This window comes from Homo sapiens, chromosome 3 (assembly GCF_000001405.40).
Source record: "Homo sapiens chromosome 3, GRCh38.p14 Primary Assembly".
In the NCBI taxonomy this organism is placed as follows: Eukaryota; Metazoa; Chordata; class Mammalia; order Primates; family Hominidae; genus Homo; species Homo sapiens.
Window position 1 is genome coordinate 40,032,067 of NC_000003.12, and position 18,643 is coordinate 40,050,709.

Consider the following 18,643-nt stretch of genomic DNA (forward strand, 5'->3'; position numbering starts at 1 on the left):
TTAATTGTGATGTTAGGGTGTCCATTTTGGATCTTTCCTGCTTTCTCTTGTGGGCATTTAGTGCTATAAATTTCCCTCTACACACTGCTTTGAATGTGTCCCAGAGATTCTGGTATGTTGTGTCTTTGTTCTCGTTGGTTTCAAAGAGCATCTTTATTTCTGTCTTCATTTCGTTATGTACCCAGTAGTCATTCAGGAGCAGGTTGTTCAGTTTCCATGTAGTAGTCATTCAGGAGCAGGTTGTTCAGTTTCCATGTAGTTGAGCGGTTTTGAGTGAGTTTCTTAATCCTGAGTTCTAGTTTGATTGCACTGTGGTCTGAGAGACAGTTTGTTATACTTTCTGTTCTTTTACATTTGCTGAGGAGAGCTTTACTTCCAACTATGTGGTCAATTTTTGAATAGGTGTGGTGTGGTGCTGAAAAAAATGTATATTCTGTTGATTTGGGGTGGAGAGTTCTGTAGATGTCTATTAGGTCCACTTGGTGCAGGCTCTGAAATTGTGGCAATAATCAATAGCTTACCAACCAAAAAGAGTCCAGGACAAAATGGATTCACAGCCGAATTCTACCAGAGGTACAAGGAGGAACTGGTACCATTCCTTCTGAAACTATTCCAATCAGTAGAAAAAGAGGGAATCCTCCCTAACTCATTTTATGAGGCCAGCATCATCCTGATACCAAACCCGGGCAGAGACACAACCAAAAAAGAATTTTAGACCAATATCCTTGATGAAAATTGATGCAAAAATCCTCAATAAAATACTGGCAAACTGAATCCAGCAGCACATCAAAAAGCTTATCCACCATGATCAAGTAGGCTTCATTCCTGTGATGCAAGGCTGGTTCAATATATGCAAATCAATAAATGTAATCCAGCATATAAACAGAACCAAAGACAAAAACCACAGGATTATCTCAATAGATGCAGAAAAGGCCTTTGAAAAAATTCAACAACTCTTCATGCTGAAAACTCTCAATAAATTAGATATTGATGGGACGTATCTCAAAATAATAAGAGCTATCTATGACAAACCCACAGCCAATATCATACTGAATGGGCAAAAACTGGAAGCATTCCCTCTGAAAACTGGCATAAGACAGGGATGCCCTCTCTCACCACTCCTATTCAACATAGTGTTGGAAGTTCTGGCCAGGGCAATTAGCCAGGAGAAGGAAATAAAGGGTATTCAATTAGGAAAAGAGGAAGTCAAATTGTCCCTGTTTGCAGACGACATGATTGTATATCTAGAAAACCCCATTGTCTCAGCCCAAAATCTCCTTAAGCTGATAAGCAACTTCAGCAAAGTGTCAGGATACAAAATCAATGTACAAAAATCACAAGCATTCTTATACACCAATAACAGACAAACAGAGACCCAAATCATGAGTGAACTCCCGTTCACAGTTGTTTCAAAGAGAATAAAATACCTAGGAATCCAACTAACAACGGACGTGAAGGACCTCTTCAAGGAGAACTACAAACCACTGCTCAATGAAATAAAAGAGGATACAAAGAAATGGAAGAGCATTCCATGCTCATGGGTAGGAAGAATCAACATCATAAAAATGGCCATACTGCCCAAGGTAATTTATAGATTCAATGCCATCCCTATCAAGCTACCAATGACTTTCTTCACAGAATTGGAAGAAAACTACTTTAAAGTTCATATGGAACCAAAAAAGAGGCGGCATTGCCAAGTCAATCCTAAGCCAAAAGAACAAAGCTGGAGGCATCACGCTACCTGACTTCAAACTATACTACAAGGCTACAGTAACCAAAACAGCATGGTACTGGTATCAAAACAGAGACATAGATCAATGGAACACAACAGAGCCCTCAGAAATAATGCCACATATCTACAACTATCTGATCTTTGACAAACCTGAGAAAAACAAGCAATGGGGAAAGGATTCCCTATTTAATAAATGGTGCTGGGAAAACTGGCTAGCCATATGTAGAAAGCTGAAACTGGATCCTTTCCTTACACCTTATACAAAAATTAATTCAAGATGGATTACAGACTTAAACGTTAGACCTAAAACCATAAAAACCCTAGAAGAAAACCTAGGCATTACTATTCAGGACATAGGCATGGGCAAGGACTTCATGTCTAAAACACCAAAAGCAATGGCAACAAAAGCCAAAATTGACAAATGGGATCTAATGAAACTAAAGAGCTTCTGCACAGCAAAAGAAACTACCATCAGAGTGAACAGGCCACCTACAAAATGGGAGAAAATTTTTGCAACCTACTCATCTGACAAAGGGCTAATATCCAGAATTTTCAGTGAACTCAAACAAATTTACAAGAAAAAAACAAACAACCCCATCAACAAGTGGGCGAAGGATATGAACAGACACTTCTCAAAAGAAGACATTTATGCAGCCAAAAGACACATGAAAAAATGCTCATCATCACTGGCCATCAGAGAAATGCAAATCAAAACCACAATGAGATACCATCTCACACCAGTTAGAATGGCAATCATTAAAAAGTCTGGAAACAACAGGTGCTGGAGAGGATGTGGAGAAATAGGAACACTTTTACACTGTTGGTGGGACTGTAAACTAGTTCAACCATTGTGGAAGTGGGTGTGGTGATTCCTCAGGGATCTAGAACTAGAAATACCATTTGACCCAGCCATCCCATTACTGGGTATATACCCAGAGGATTATAAATCATGCTGCTATAAAGACACATGCACACGTATGTTTGTTGTGGCACTATTCACAATAGCAAAGACTTGGAACCAACCCAAATGTCCAACAATGATAGAGTGGATTAAGAAAATGTGGCACATATACACCATGGAATACTATGCAGCCATAAAAAAGGATGAGTTCATGTCCTTTGTAGGGACATGGATGAAATTGGAAATCATCATTCTCAGTAAACTATCGCACAGACAAAAAACCAAACACCGCATGTTCTCACTCATAGGTGGGAATTGAACAATGAGAACACATGGACACAGGAAGGGGAACATTACACTCTGGGGACTGTTATGGGGTGGGGGGAGGGGGGAGGGATAGCATTAGGAGATATACCTAATGCTAAATGACAAGTTAATGGGTGCAGCACACCAGCATGGCACATGTATACATATGTAACAAACCTGCACATTGTGCACATGTACCCTAAAACTTAAAGTATAATAATAAAATTTTAAAAATTAAAAAAAAGAAAAAGAAATCAAAACCGCAAAACCCCAAGCCTCCACCACAACAAGGTATTGAAAACTAAAATTGTATAAGTCACGTAGTAATGGATTCCCCAAGATGAGAAACAGATGTGAAGCTGTTCTAGAATTGAGGACTTCTTGGTGATGACTCATGAATGATTTGCACTGAAAAGGTGCACTGACATAAAAAGCAGTCTTGACTGGAGATTATCTTAATCAAAATGACAAACCATGAAAGCAAAGGACCTACCTGGAACAAGAGTTAATAGATGCAACCAATAGACGGATTTGTGCCGCCTCTAAGAACTGAATATAAGAATCAGGAAGGGGGCGTAAAAGAAGTATATTTACAATTATTTTTAGAAAAAAGTATAGGAACCAAGGAATGAATGGCACCAAGGAGAAAAGGACAGGCAGACTTAAATGGAAACAAATCATTAGAACTTCTGGAAATATAAAAATCAGTAAAATTTCTATTAAAATCCAGGAAGAGGTTATAAAAGAAGTATATTTAAAATAATTTTTAAAAGAAGGTATAGGAACCAAGAAATGAATGGCACATGAGTGGAACAGGCATATTTAAGTGGAAACAAATCATTAGAACTTCTGGAAATATGAAACTCAATACAATTTCAAAAGGATTAAATAGTAGAGAAAATGCAGATGAACAAAGAATTATTAAAATGGAAACTAGAACTGAAGTACTTACCCAGAATGTATCTCAGAAATACAAAGAGATGAAACAAAGAGATTAGGAGACATGGAAGAACAGAAAAGCTTTGAGATATAATTGGAATTCTAGGAGGAGAAAATAGAGCAGGAGACAACATTCAAAAATGTCTAGAGAATTCTTTAGAATTAATGAAGTTTTAAAAATGACGAAGAGATCCAAGCAAAATGAATGCAAACAAATCCACACTTAGTTACTTCATAGTGAAACTGAAGAACACTACAGAAAATTTAAAAATTCTTAAAACTAACCAGTGAGAGAAGTTAGAGTCTTCTACAAAGGAAGAATTACACTGACAGACTTCCCATTGCAACAACTGATACCAAAAAAAAAAAAAAAAAAAAAACTTTATTCAAAATGAGCTGTCAACTTGGAATTCTGCAGCCTTCTAAACTGTCATTGAAATGTAAGGGTTAAATAGAGGCTGCTAGAATTTACCTTGATGAAAGAATTACCAGAAGAAGTGAAGCAATAAAGAAAATTAACAGAAGGAAAATCAGATGCAAGAAGCAATAATGGGCAACAAAATTGTTAAATGTGTATAAATCTCTACAAAAATCAATTTAAAATAGCAAGAGTTCTGCTATTGATGATTGCTGAGTAAGCTTCTGTTGGACCAACACTCCTGCAAATAAAAAATACGCTTTCTGAAGGAAGTATATATTGCCTTAGAACACCCCATTTGCAACCAGATGCACGAGATGCTGGAGAAGCATTGATACTTAGATGAAGGAAATGACACTAGTTGAGTTTCCTATCTTTAGGACTTTCATTCTCAGGGCAGGCCCTAGTCTTCTTCATGTGGGGTGGCTAAAACTTCAATCAAACAATATTAAGCATAATTTTTGCAATTACAAACCAACATTAAATCAATAGCCATGTAGAACACCAGAGGAAATTAAAGTTTGTATTGTTGATGACGAGACATCTGTTAACTTTATACATTAGTCCAAATATGCATGTTAATATATTAAAGCTAACCACTAAAAGAAATGAAACATAAAATGCCTAATCATAATGAAAAAACACAGAGAGCAAAGAAAACCAATCAATCTGATAGAAAGTAGGAAGAAACAGAAAAGGCATGGTAGATAGAAAATAAAACACAGCATAGTAGAAAAAAGTCCAAATCTATTAGTAATTTCAATATAAATGTATGTCTTGCTCTCAGTGAATCTGCATTTTTGCATAAGATAAAATAATCATGGAGTACAGAAAGCAGTCAGCTACACATTTGTCTCAGGTGAGCCAAGGGATGACTTTTAATTCTGTCCTTTGTCCCGTACCTGTGAAGATAAGATGTTAATTTACACTGTCAGGGTAAAATTGAATGGAAGTAAAGGGACTTCCTTGTGAGCAAATTGCAAGGGAGATATATAGCCTTTTATCTTGTAGCTGTCTATTTAGGAATAGAGGGAGGCAGGTTTGCATGGCCTAGTTCCCAGCTTGTCTTTTCCCTTTGGCTTAGTGGGTTTGGGGTCTGGGGACTTTATGTTCCTTTTACAACACATATTGCCCCAGATGGTCTCCCTCACAAATTTCTCACAAGGAAATTCCCTGTGAGCCACTAAATCTTTCAGGATACATATCCCCCTATAAACTAGTCCTAAAACTGAGTTCTGTTGACTCTCATCTGACAATGTCAATTACCAGCTTATTGTCACAGGTATGGGACAATGACAAGACCAGAAATCATCCTCCTGCCTACCCTGAGATGGATGCAGAGCTGACTTTTCCCTCTGCACCCTCTTTTCACATGTGAAATGTAGATTTGTGAATGCTAATCAGAGCCTCACAAGAATGTAACCATTTACATCATTGCCTACCCCCCTTCCTGTTTTCTCTCTGGCTCACACTTTCTCCTTTAAATACTGAAGTTCCCAAACCCTCTTTGGAAAAAGCTTAGGTCACAGATGCTCCCATGACTTGTGTTTTTCCTGGAAGTGTCCTCAACCTTGGCTAAATAAACCTCTATCCATTGAGACCTGCCTCAATCACTTTTTGGTTAGCATCTTGTTATCAGTCGGTAGAGAATAAACATTCTTTTCAAACACATATGGGGCTTTACACAAATTGGCTAACTATGAAGCTATAATGAAAGTCTCAATGAATACCAAGGAATTTATTTGAGACGCTCTGATCAAAATGTTAAAAAAAAAAGTTAATAACAAAAGCCACATATTTGGAAATTTTTAAACCTGAGAATTATAAAATATGTAAGAATAAATGACAATAAAAAAATTTCTTATTTAAAACCTGCAAGGTACAACAAAAATGATGTGTTGAGAGAGTTTTATAGCCTTAAATGCATAGATTAGGAAAGAGTAAATGTTAAAAGTGAGTTTACTTTAAAAAATTTTACTTGTTAAAAATTAGAGAAAAGAATAAACTCAAACCAGTAGAAAGAAGAAATAATAAAGATAAGACTGGACTTTATTGCAATGGAGGACTAATAAACCATGTAGACAACCGTCAACCTAACTAAAAGCTAGTTATTTTTAAAATTAATGAAATAAGTAAACCTCTGAACTTACTGAACAAGGGACAAATAAACAATATTCTGAAAGAAAAGAGGGACATAATGACAGAGGTAGCAGAGATCTTATAATCATGAGAGAAATTTGTGAACCACTTTATATCAACACACTTGAAAACCTAAACAAAAATAGATCATTTTTTAGGTTTCATAATTAAAATAGTATAAATAATACTATCCTTTTAATTTAAAAATATGGGGACAGGGGAAGGAGAGAGAGGGAACAAAGGGGCAGGGGAGAGAAAGAAAGGTAATTCTCATGGTCTTCCTTCTTGCTTACCTGTGTCCTGATTCATTTACTCCCATGCCTTGTGATTCAGACAAGGTGACTCCTACATATGCAGCCATTTTTTACCAGTTAGGTCGCAGCTTTGGATAATTTTCCTCTAACCAGCCATGAAGGGCCCTGGAACAAGAGAAGAGAGGGGACATATGGGAATCTGGATAGGCAGAGATGGAACAGCAACATGTCCAGTGACAGGGCCAATGAAGGAATCCCAAAGGTGGTGGCTGAGGGCTTTAACTGCAGCATGCCCACATGAAATGGTTTTCTGTTCGGCCTGGAGCTGGGTTCCTCTTCCATTACCTTCCACTACCCTTAAACCATTGGTAATAAACGTCCATCACCCACCACACCTTAGAGTCTGTTGCTTCAATGAACTGAAAAGAAGGGATTTGTCCATGCTTGAGGAAAGTTGGGGTGGAGAAAGTCTACCTAGTCACATAGACCATGCCTCAAACAATCTATTCAATAAAAGGTTAACATTAATGTTGAAAACAATCTTCATCAGTGAATAAATACTTTATCATGCCTTAAAAAGTCTTGTCTAACTTTTAAAAAGTCAGAATAGGAGGAAGAGATAGCTTGCAAAGGAATTGGAAAAGGGCTGAGAAAACAAGAGTAACACGAGGAAGGGAAGAGAATATTTCAAGAATGTAAGAATAATCAGGTAAGACAAGGCCTAGAAAGTCCCTTTGGATCTTGCAACATGAAGATCAGTGGGGGATCTCAAGCAGATATTTTGTTTTCTTTAAGAAAAAGAACAAAAGGCCCATTGGAGTAGATCCAGGAGTGAGTGGAAATAAAGAACATATATTGACCACCAGGGATGGTTCTTTCAGGAATTTTAACTAGAAGAGGTTACGACTATAAGAGAGTGGTAATTAGATGAGAATATAGTGTTGAGGAAAGTTTGTACTTACTGTTTTCCCTTTTTTTTTTTTAGGTAGAAACTATATTAGTTTCCTGAGGCTGCTGTAACAAATTATCACAAATAGGTGGCTTAAAACAATAAGAATGTATTGTCTCCCTCTTCTGTAGGTCAGAAGTCTACAATCAAGGCGCTGGAAGGGCCACACTCCCTCCCAAGTCTCTTGGGGGAGAATCTGCCCATGCCTCCTTCCTAGCTTTTGGTGGCTGCTGGCAAACCTTGGTGTTACTTGGATTGTAGCCACAGCACTCCAATCTCTGCCTTTGTCTTCACATTGCCTTCTCTGTGTGTCTCTTAAAGGACAGTTGTCATTGGATTTAGAGCTCACTCATATAATGCAGGATAACTACATCTCAAAATTCTTAATTTATAAGACCCCTTTTCCAAATAAGGTAATAGTTACAGATTCCAGTGATTTAGGGCATGGACATATCATTTAAGAGAGCCAACCTTCTTTTGAGAAGTGTCTGTTCATTTATGCAGCCAAAAAACACATGAAGAAATGCTCATCATCACTGGCCATCAGAGAAATGCAAATCAAAACCACTATGAGATATCATCTCACACCAGTTAGAATGGCAATCATTAAAAAGTCAGGAAACAACAGGTGCTGGAGAGGATGTGGAGAAATAGGAACACTTTTACACTGTTGGTGGGACTGTAAACTAGTTCAACCATTGTGGAAGTCAGTGTGGCGATTCCTCAGGGATCTAGAACTAGAAATACCATTTGACCCAGCCATCCCATTACTGGGTATATACCCAAATGAGTATAAATCATGCTGCTATAAAGACACATGCACACGTATGTTTATTGCGGCACTATTCACAATAGCAAAGACTTGGAACCAACCCAAATGTCCAACAATGATAGACTGGATTAAGAAAATGTGGCACATATACAACATGGAATACTATGCAGCCATAAAAAATGATGAGTTCATATCCTTTGTAGGGACATGGATGAAATTGGAAACCATCATTCTCAGTAAACTATCGCAAGAACAAAAAACCAAACACCGCATATTCTCACTCATAGGTGGGAAGTGAACAATGAGATCACATGGACACAGGAAGGGGGGAATATCACACTCTGGGGACTGTGGTGGGGTCGGGGGAGGGGGGAGGGATAGCATTGGGAGATATACCTAATGCTAGATGACACATTAGTGGGTGCAGCGCACCAGCATGGCACATGTATACATATGTAACTAACCTGCACAATGTGCACATGTACCCTAAAACTTAGAGTATAATAAAAAAAAAAAAGAAAAAAAAAAAGAAAATATTACCAGCAGAAAAAAAAAAAAAAAAAAAATCAAAGCAATGGCTTGCAACTCTGAGTAAAACAGGAATCCCTGCATCCATATTGATAAACAAGTGAATAAATAAATGGTGAGAAAGGATGTTTTTCTTTGTATGTAGAATGTCAACCAATAAATGTAGAAGGCATTATGGAGTTAGGAAATCATGTTGGTCAATCATGACAGTAATAACTGGGACAAGACTAATCAACTGATACTATATAACTGGTGAATGAGGAACAAAATACTCATATAGTCTCAAAGTATCTCCCCACAAATTACTTGTAAATTACAAAGAGGAAATCGTAAATTTAAAATGAAATCTGGCAGACACCAACCTAAGCGGTGAACAGAGTTAACAACATTAATGGGACCAACTGACATTATATGCTGATTACGACGCACTGACGACACACTGCTTCTGTGATATTCCCACCCAGAATGTAAAACCCTCACCTAGTCATGCGGAACCATCACACAAATCCAAACTGAGGAACATTCGACAAAATAGCCTGTATTCTTCAAAAATGTCATGGTAATGAAAGACAAAAGAAAGTTGAGGAATCTGCAGTATTGAGAGACACACGTTTACAAATGTAACACGATCCTGCACAAGGTAAAAGAATGGCTACAAAGGACATTATTGGGATAAATGGCAAAATTTAAATATGAATCATGGGTTAGATAACAGTATTAAATCACTGTTAAACTTCCTGATTTTGATAATAATACTTAAAAAAATACTGAATAATGCTTAAAGTAATTCTCTTCTTCTCTTAGAAGAGAATGTCCTGTTCTTAGGGAAATGCATACTGTTTTGGGCATAATGGGGTATCTGTGCAAATTATTCTCAAATGATTAAGAAAATGCAACATGAAATATAGATAAGGCAAATGGGATAAAATGTAAACACTCAGTAAATCTGGATAAAAGATATATAGGAGTTCTTTGTGATATTCCTGCAACTTTTCTGTAAATCTGAAATTGTATTCAAAATTTTAAAGTTACCAATAAAACAAAACAAACAACCCCTGACCAAGAATCCAACAACAAGGGATGAATCAAAATTATGGTACAGTCACCCTATGGATGCCTTCAAATTACACAGCTTTACAGATCAACTTTGTGAAGATATATAACAATATAGTAAAATGCTTATAACATGTACAATGTTGAATGATAAAAGCAGGATACAAAATACTTTATGTGTATATTATAACAACTATGTAAAAGCAAGCATATAATAAAGACTGGAAGGATAAAAAAAAAAAAAAAAAAAAAGAGAGCCAACCTTCAACCCACTACAGGGGCTAATTGACTATGTATATAAACTGATGGGGTGGTCTAGGCCTTCTCAAGCAAGACATAAAGTCCAATGTCCATGAAAGAAAAGCCTGACAGATTTAACTGCAGAAAAATTAAGCATTTCTAAATGAGAATAAACACCATAAACATAAAAAGACAAGGGCAGAACGGGAGAATATATTTGCCACATCCATCTTAAATATATCTAGTTTTAACTGCATAATCACAACTGGGTATAAAAAATAGTAATAGTAGTAAAGAGTAGTAAATAGTCATAGTAAAAATAAAAATAGTAGTAAAGATAAAAAGTAAAAAAAGTAATAAAGTAAAATAGTAGTAAAACAATAGTAGTAGTAAATAGTAGTAAAATACTATCAAGTATTATCATAGTAGAATGCTGTAGTAAAATTTAGTATAGACGCTCCTTGATTTACAGTGGGATTGCGTCCTAGTAAACCCATCATAAGTTGAAACTGTCATAAGTTGAAAATGCACTTAATAAACCTAACCTACTGAACATCACAGCTTAGCCCAGCCAACTTAAACATGCCCAGAACACTTACATTAGCCTGCAGCTGGGCAAAGTCATCTGACAACATAGTAAAACATAGTCCACCATAGAATATCTCCCTCATGACCTCATGGCTGACTGGGAGCTGTGGCTCACTGCTGCTATGCTCAGCATCATGATAGAGTATTGTATCACTTTCTGGTGCTTTTTAATGAATCCATGTAGTTTCTGCATCATCAAAAAGTTGAAAAATCATAAGTTGAACCATTATAAGTGGGGGACTGTGTTTTTCTATTATAATGATAGTGTGCAACAGTAGGAAAATAGTAAAAGTAGTAGTCTAGTAATATAGTACTAAAATAGTAAAAATTATAGTCTAGTAATATAGTATAGTAATAGTAAAATAGTAGTAAAAATAATAATTTTTCTACTGTTCTTTGGGGACCCCCATTTTCGTAGCAGGAAAAACAACTCAAACCTGCTGATTCAGGGTAATTTTTTTTCTTTTTTTTTCCCCAGGTTACTCAACCTGTTGGCAGTGTATTTTTCTTCTCACTGAGCACAGAGAGAAGTGTATGCACCGTTATGTTTTGCATTAGTGTGGCTGGCTGTGTGCCCAGTGACCAGGAGCTTTTTAAAAGAACAGAATTGTTCTTTTATCCAACTATGAATCACCAGTGCCTCGATCTGCCCATCACCCATAGAATCCTTATTAACTCATATAGATTTGAAAGCTTTTAAAAATCCTTGAGTACTTCAGTTTCCAGGGATGTTAAATAAAGCCAGGACTGCATTTATCATATTCCCAGCTGGGCTGTGTGAGGATTAATGTTTTATCATAAGTGATCTCCTGCTCCTTTAAAAAGGCATTAATTAAGTTAAAGGTTTTATTTTTCAAGGATATGCTTATTAGTTTTTTAATAACTTGTATCTCAATGTAGTCTCTGAAATGGAAGTGATAATGTTTTCATGCTTTCTCATAGAAAATCTGACATACAGGAGTACACAAAACTAATCTACGATTAATGTTCTTCTCTGGACATAATGTTGAGCAGTTGATCTTTCTGAGTTCTCTTGTTCTCCAGGAAGGTCCTACATGGTAGCTTGGCCTAAGGGAGGGACAGGGTGCATGCTTTGGGGAGACACCCCCTGACCTGATGTTGTGTTTCTCTCCTCCTCCCATTTCCCCTACCTTGGTTTCCCAGTGAGCTGAAGCAGAAGCTGGATGAGGAAGGCAGCAAGTGCAGCATCCTCTCGAAGCACCAGCAGTTTGTGGAGCACTGCTGCATGCGCTGCTGCTCGCCCTTCACCTTCCTCGTCAACACCAAGCGCCAGTGTGGAGATTGCAAATTCAATGTCTGCAAGAGCTGCTGCTCCTACCAGAAGCACGAAAAGGCCTGGGTCTGCTGCGTCTGCCAGCAAGCGAGGTGAGTGGCTGGTGCATTCCCAGGGTCTACACTGTTGATTTAGAGAGATTCACCTGCCACTTCCTTCAGTCAGGTAGAACCAGCTATGATTGGTAGATCAACACAGAGTATTGACCAAAGTAAATAGCTTGCTGAAGAGAGATGCATGGATAAGGAAACCTGTTGATCTTTATAGGGAGGATGAGAGAGGGCCCCCCAGGAGCACCTGGGTGTGAATAGAAAGGGCTTTCTTGGGATTGAAGATGCAGCTCCTACATATGTTATTCATCTTTTTGGAATTTCTCATCTGGTCTCATCCTTTCGTTCGTTCATTGCATAAGCATGTGTTGGATTCTTAGGAATTATGCTGGGTGCAGGAAACATGATGGTGAATTAGGCCAATTATGAGTGACTCAGAGGCATAGCGGATGGTGTGATACGTAAGTGCTGGGCCTTCATATGTGGAGATACATGCCCTGACTAGTTTGTCTATTGGCTATGAGGGCACTGAGCAAGGAGAGACTGGCCCTAGGGCTTGGAGAAAGCTTCATAGAGGACAAGAAATAAAAGCAAGATTGTGAAAGACAAAAAAGAGTCAATGCTGTGAAAGGGGAGATGAAGACAACTTTGCGAGGGAAATAACAAGCATGGCATTTCACATTCTCCCTCAGCGACCAGCAGAGCACTTCTTTGATCTGTTGAGTATTTGGAAACTGATGAGTATGATAAACCAGTGTTTGGTATTTGTCTGTGCTGATCCTAGCATCTGTAGTGTGCATTGTGATTCGTATTTGCTGCATGCTTCCAAAATGCCTGTTAATGAGTGAAGCAGAGATGAGCAGGTCCTGGGAGCACACACTCAGAAGCCCCTGCCTCCCACACCTTTTCCTTCTTTCCTCCTTTCTCCTCTCCCTGCCCTGTTTACTCGCTTGTATCCTTTAATGCATCAAGACCTAGAATTTTCCCATAGAGCTAGTTAATGGGGACAGCTGCCAAGTTTCCTTGGGGTCTCCAAGGAATCAGGCTCTGGGCTACAAAATATATATATTCATATTCATTCCAGAGACACAAACTGAAACAAAAAGTGGTATGTTAAGCACCCAGTATCCAAGGCTGGGTGCTACGCAGGTCCTGTGCCTGACTTGGTCAGAGCAAGGAGCCCATCTGGGTCTCCACATGGCAGCTTGAAAGGGGGAGGAAAAGCCCTGCAACAACAAAGGGAAGGAGGAAACTGGGATTATAGATGAGCGTGCATCTGGGAGTGATCAACAGAGAGAGGTTCATCCATGCCTTCTATTTCTCAGTCAAGGTGGGGTAAGCCAAATTCATCATGTAACACGTTTAAGGATTACGTGACTTGAATATTGTGGCACTGAGAACAAGACAGTTGGATGTTGGAAGAAATAAGAGTAGATCTAAATAGGCATTACAGGAGTTTGGGATGCACACATTCAAGCCAAGTTCCTGTAACAAATTATGAATCTGTTTTCTTTCAATCTTCCCACAGATTGGGAGTTTCGTGGGGCTTGGGACAGGTCAGAGGGTAACTGAGTTAAGGATATTGGACAGTGAAGAATGTAAAGACAGAATCTGGATAGTAAGGAAAAACAGAAAGGGGCTATGGATGGATGGGGAGAAAATGAAGGGGTCAGTCAGCCAGAAGTAGTATCTGGTAAAGTCAAAGAACTGTCACAGTGGGAGTACTTGATAGAGAAAATTGGAAAAAATGAAAATTCTATATAGAGAAAAAGATGAATTTGTGATTTCTAAAGTAGATCAGTTGAGTGGTGACCATGGGAAGAGGAGACAATGTCTAGAAGAAGAAGTTAAGGGACCAAAATACCAGTGCCCATATGATTGGAAAAAATCAGGATAGTGGCCACAGTATGGAGGTGAAGAATTGAGCCAGGTGACAAGTTTTTCTGAAATGAGAAGAAGGAACTAGAAGGTCAGGATGTGAGAGACATAAGGAGTTGGAGAAGATGAGATGACTGCATGTTATGATTCTGCACCTACCAAGTTGGGCAAGTCCCATGTAGCATTTGACTCAAACATCTGCCATGGCTGCATGCGCTACACTGACGTTTGTTACCAACTGGTGGTAAACACCGCCAGGACAGGGACACTGTCTTCTTCATTTGTAGCACCAGAGCCTGACACATAGAAAGCACATGAATCTTTGTGACCCAAATAGAACAGGACGATGTTTATAGCAGCCAGATGCATAGTACAGAATGAGCCTTTAGGAATTTTAGAGGAAAGGACTCAGAGACTGTTAGATGTCCTAAAGGGGTTTCATGGAAAAGGAGGGCATCCTAGATGGAACTCAGTTGGAGAGGAGGAATCAGGAGACACTCTCAGACAATGTGTGGCATGAGCAAACAAAGCAGAGTCACCCAAGGTGTGTGGAGGGTCTGAAGCAGACCGCTATTGAAGCGGGATGATGGCAAGTGATTGGGTCAGTTTGTGTGAAGAATTGGCGTTTGATCTTTAAGGGATGGCGAAATCACTGGAATGTCAAACCCTAGCCGTTATTAAAGTATACTATACTGTGCTTCAGCATATTCCCCCACAAATAAAAGGAAGTATCAGTACCTACATGATTTCATTTCTTTCAATATTTACCTAGTCCTCTTCTCCCCGAGTAAGAAAAGTCACCAAATTTACTAAACAGTTAGTAGCAATAGAGTGCAGTCACAGCCTGTCAACCCCACATTTACCATGAGTTGTATGCAGGCATCTATTATTAGTTACAATTAAATGACACATTGCATTAATCAAATACCAGTAGTGCTGAGTAGTTGATGCACCACCTCAGAATCCCATCACCTATAAATGGAAGAACCTTGCCTCGCAAAAGCAAGATCTTCTGATGCCAACCATTTGCTATTTCTCTTGTACAATGTTGTCTCAATAATTTGTCAGATATTGGAAAAATAAGTTGTAAAAAAGGCAGCAATGGCTGCCAAGACTATATTTTAAATTTTCATTTCATATTTCTAGCAACTTAATGAGGAGGCAGGAGGCTTAGGTAGTCCCATTTCACTTAATCTTGCATCATGTTCGTGTTAATATTGCATGACAGCTCCTGAGTCTCAGAAGCTGAGCATTAGAAAATAAAGAACCATTCATAGAAGGATACCTGGAAAGACATGCAACAGCCAGTGTACCCTTGTTCCATTTTTATTTTAAGAAAGTGGAGGGTTACTGAGGAGTCTTCCACATTCAATGTGTCTAGCTCAAACAGAACACACCCACACTTGTTTAATCAAAGCTGGCAGAAAGGGGATGCTGAGGAGAAATTGGAAATGTTGCTGCTTTAATCTTGTATTATGTCTTGAGATTATTATTGGCTGAAACCCAAAGGGATGGAGAAATTTTGTTCATTCCCTATTTTTCTGTATTGCTCAATTCAATCACAGGAACCTGTCTAGGAAAGAAATCCATGAAATATGTGGCATATTTTTGCATCCTGAAATGTCTCTAAGGCCCTGTTTGACAGAGAAGTATGTCTTTCAAAGTACCACGGATGTATGGCCTGTGAGCGGACAGTCTTTTATGTTGTACCTGGATCACATTCTTGTTTTTTGAAGGATGCCTTAGAAGAGTTAATTTTATTTATATATCAACAAACTGTGTAACCCATCAACATTACACAAGTGCTAGAGCCAAATTCATCATGTAACACATTTAAGGATTACGTGACTTGAATATTGTGGCAGTATGGACACTCAGGGCTGCTTGTCCACTTTGTCCAGTAGCTCCTCTGCCCTTCATTCAATCTGAAACTCCCTTCTTGGTTAGAACTGATTTACTTTAGACACTACTCTTTGGAACATTCTTCTAGAATTTTCATCTTCAAGCAAGTGGGTTTTTAAAACATTGTATGTCAGATTCTATGAAGAGCACATTTTGTGTTTGTATATGAAATCTCAATAGTTGATAGTAGGTCTATGAGGTTACACAGATGACCACTTTTGTGAGGCCACTTTCAGACCCATATTCACTCCCCACTACCCATGAGATGCATTCCTTTCCTTATTTAAATGAAACCATTTTTGCTACATTGGTTTAATTTCTAGCTATTTATCCAGTGGCTACAATATGCATATGTTTTTGAGATACTGTGGGCTATGAATAATTATAATAATAAAAATTCTTGTCCACAAAAAAGGAGTAGGAATTAAAGGTAGACATTCATCCTACAATATGAATAGCCTCAGAAGTAATAACTGTATCAAATACCTGGGGCTGTCTATTGTACAGCTGTAAATGAGAGAGTCGGATTAGAAACATGGCATTCATCAGGAGAGGACCCAGACAGTGTCAAGTCTCTAAGAAAAACGTGGTAACCTATAACTTTAACTTTCTTCTTTTCATCTCAGTGAAAAACAATCCATATTTTTTTCTGTTTGATTATTTAGTTCAGTAAAAGCATTTTGAGAATTTTAAAGTTGTAATTGTAATCATTTGGTTCTTTGTTAGTAATTTTGCTTCATATATTTTGCATTAAAATGTATTTCTGTTATCAGTGTTCATCTAAAATTTTTAGCTTTGGGAGATTAAAAAATTAAATGTATTATAGAATGAATGATGAATTACTTATTTTGGAAGTTCTATAGAAAATGGGATACTACTGAATCATCCCTTTGTCATTTTTTCATTATATATAGATTTATCTTCTTGACAATTTATTGTATGCATTCATTCAAACATTATGAATAAAGACATATAGTACTTGTATTTAAGGTCTTCTTCAGGAAGCAAAACTTTTCAGAGTGAGCCCAGACCATACATATCAGTCATAATCATTTTGGGCCTAATTGGTTTGGGAACAACATTCCTACTTTCCTTGGAAACAAATTAGCTTTCTAGCTCTTTGCTTCATTATAAAAATTGTTCACTCTAATTTTTGTCATTTTGTACGTCATAGGCATATCTCATTTTATTGTACTTTACTGTGCTTCACAGATATTACATTTTTTACAAATTGAAGGTTTGTGGCAACCCTGCATTGAGCAAGTCTGTCGAGGCCACTTTTTCCGATAGCATAGGCTCACTTCATGTCTCTATGTCACGTTTTGGTAATTCTCACAATACTTCAGACTTTTCCATTATATATCAAACTTTCTCATTATTATTGTTATGGTCATCTGTAATCAGTGATCTTTGATGTTACTATTATAATTGTTTGGGGGCACAACAAACCACACCCATATAAGACAGGACAAACTTAATCTATCAGTATTGTGTGTGTTCTGACTGCTCCACTGACTGGTGGTTCTCGCATCTCTCTCCCTCTCCCCAGGCCTCCTTATTCCCTGAGACACAACAATATTAAATTCAGTCAACTAATGGCCCTATAATGGCCTCTAAGTGTTCAAAAAAAAAAAGGGAAAAGTTACACATCTCTCACTTTAAATCAAAGTTAGAAATGATTAGTGAGGAAGGCATATTGAGAACCAAGATAGGCCAAAAGCTAAGTTTCTTGAGCCAGACAATTAGCCAGGTTGTGAATGCAAAGGAAAAGCTCTTGAAGGAAGTTAAAAGTGCTACTCCAGTGAACACATGAATGATAAAATGGAATAGCCTTATTGCTGATGGGGAGAAAGTTTGTGAGGTCTGGATAGAAGGTCAAACCTGCCACAACATTCCCTTAAGCCAAAGCCATATTCAGAGCAAGGCCCTATTCTTCTTCTATTCTGTGAAGACTGAGAGAGGTGAGGAAGCTGCAGTGGAAAAGTTTGAAGCTAGCAGAGGTTGGTTCATGAGGTTTAAGGAAAGAAGCCATCTCTATAACATAAAAGTGCAAGGTGAAGCAGCAAGTGCTGATGGAGGAGCTGCAGGTTATCCAGAAGATCTAGCTAAGATCATTGATGAAGGTGGCTACTCTAAACAATAGATTTCATCAATGTTGACAAAACAGCCTTTTACTGGAAGAAGAGGCCATCTACAACTTTCATAACTAAAAAGAAGTCAATACCTGGCTTCAAAGAACAGGCTGTCTTGTTAGGGGCTGATGTAGCTGGTGACTTCCAGTCGAAGCCAGTGCTCATTTTAGCACTCCAAATATCCTAGGTCCCTTAAAAGGTATGCTAAATTTACTCTGCCTGTGCTCTATAAATAAAACAACAAAGCCTGAATGATAGTGCATATGTTTACAGCATGGTTTACTGAATATTTTAAGCCCACTTTTGAGACCTACTGCTCAGAAAAAAAAAAAGATTCCTTTCAAAATATTATTGCTCATTGGCAATGCATCTGATCACCTGGGAGCTCTGATGAAAATATACAAGGAGATGAACGTTGTTTTCATGCCTGCTAACATAATATCCACTCTACAGCCCAAGATCAAGCAGTAATTTTGACTTTTAAGTCTTATTTCAGAAATACATTTCATAACACTATAACAGCCACAGATGATTCTTCTGATAGATCTTGGCAAAGTAAATTGAAAAC

The 18,643-nt window shown here is 37.9% G+C and overlaps 1 protein-coding gene across 6 annotated transcripts in view; it reads left to right on the plus strand.

Moving 5' to 3' along the window:
- Window positions 1-18,643, plus strand: part of MYRIP (myosin VIIA and Rab interacting protein) — a 451,408-nt gene that overhangs the window by 223,153 nt on the left and 209,612 nt on the right. For all 6 annotated transcript variants that reach the window (NR_104316.2, NM_001284423.2, NM_015460.4 and 3 more), the window contains exon 3: window positions 11,984-12,205. Coding sequence is in view for 5 of the 6 variants with exons in the window: in NM_001284423.2 (NP_001271352.1) it covers window positions 11,984-12,205 (222 nt within the window). In the remaining variant the exon portion in view is untranslated. The remainder of the gene's footprint in view (window positions 1-11,983; window positions 12,206-18,643) is intronic.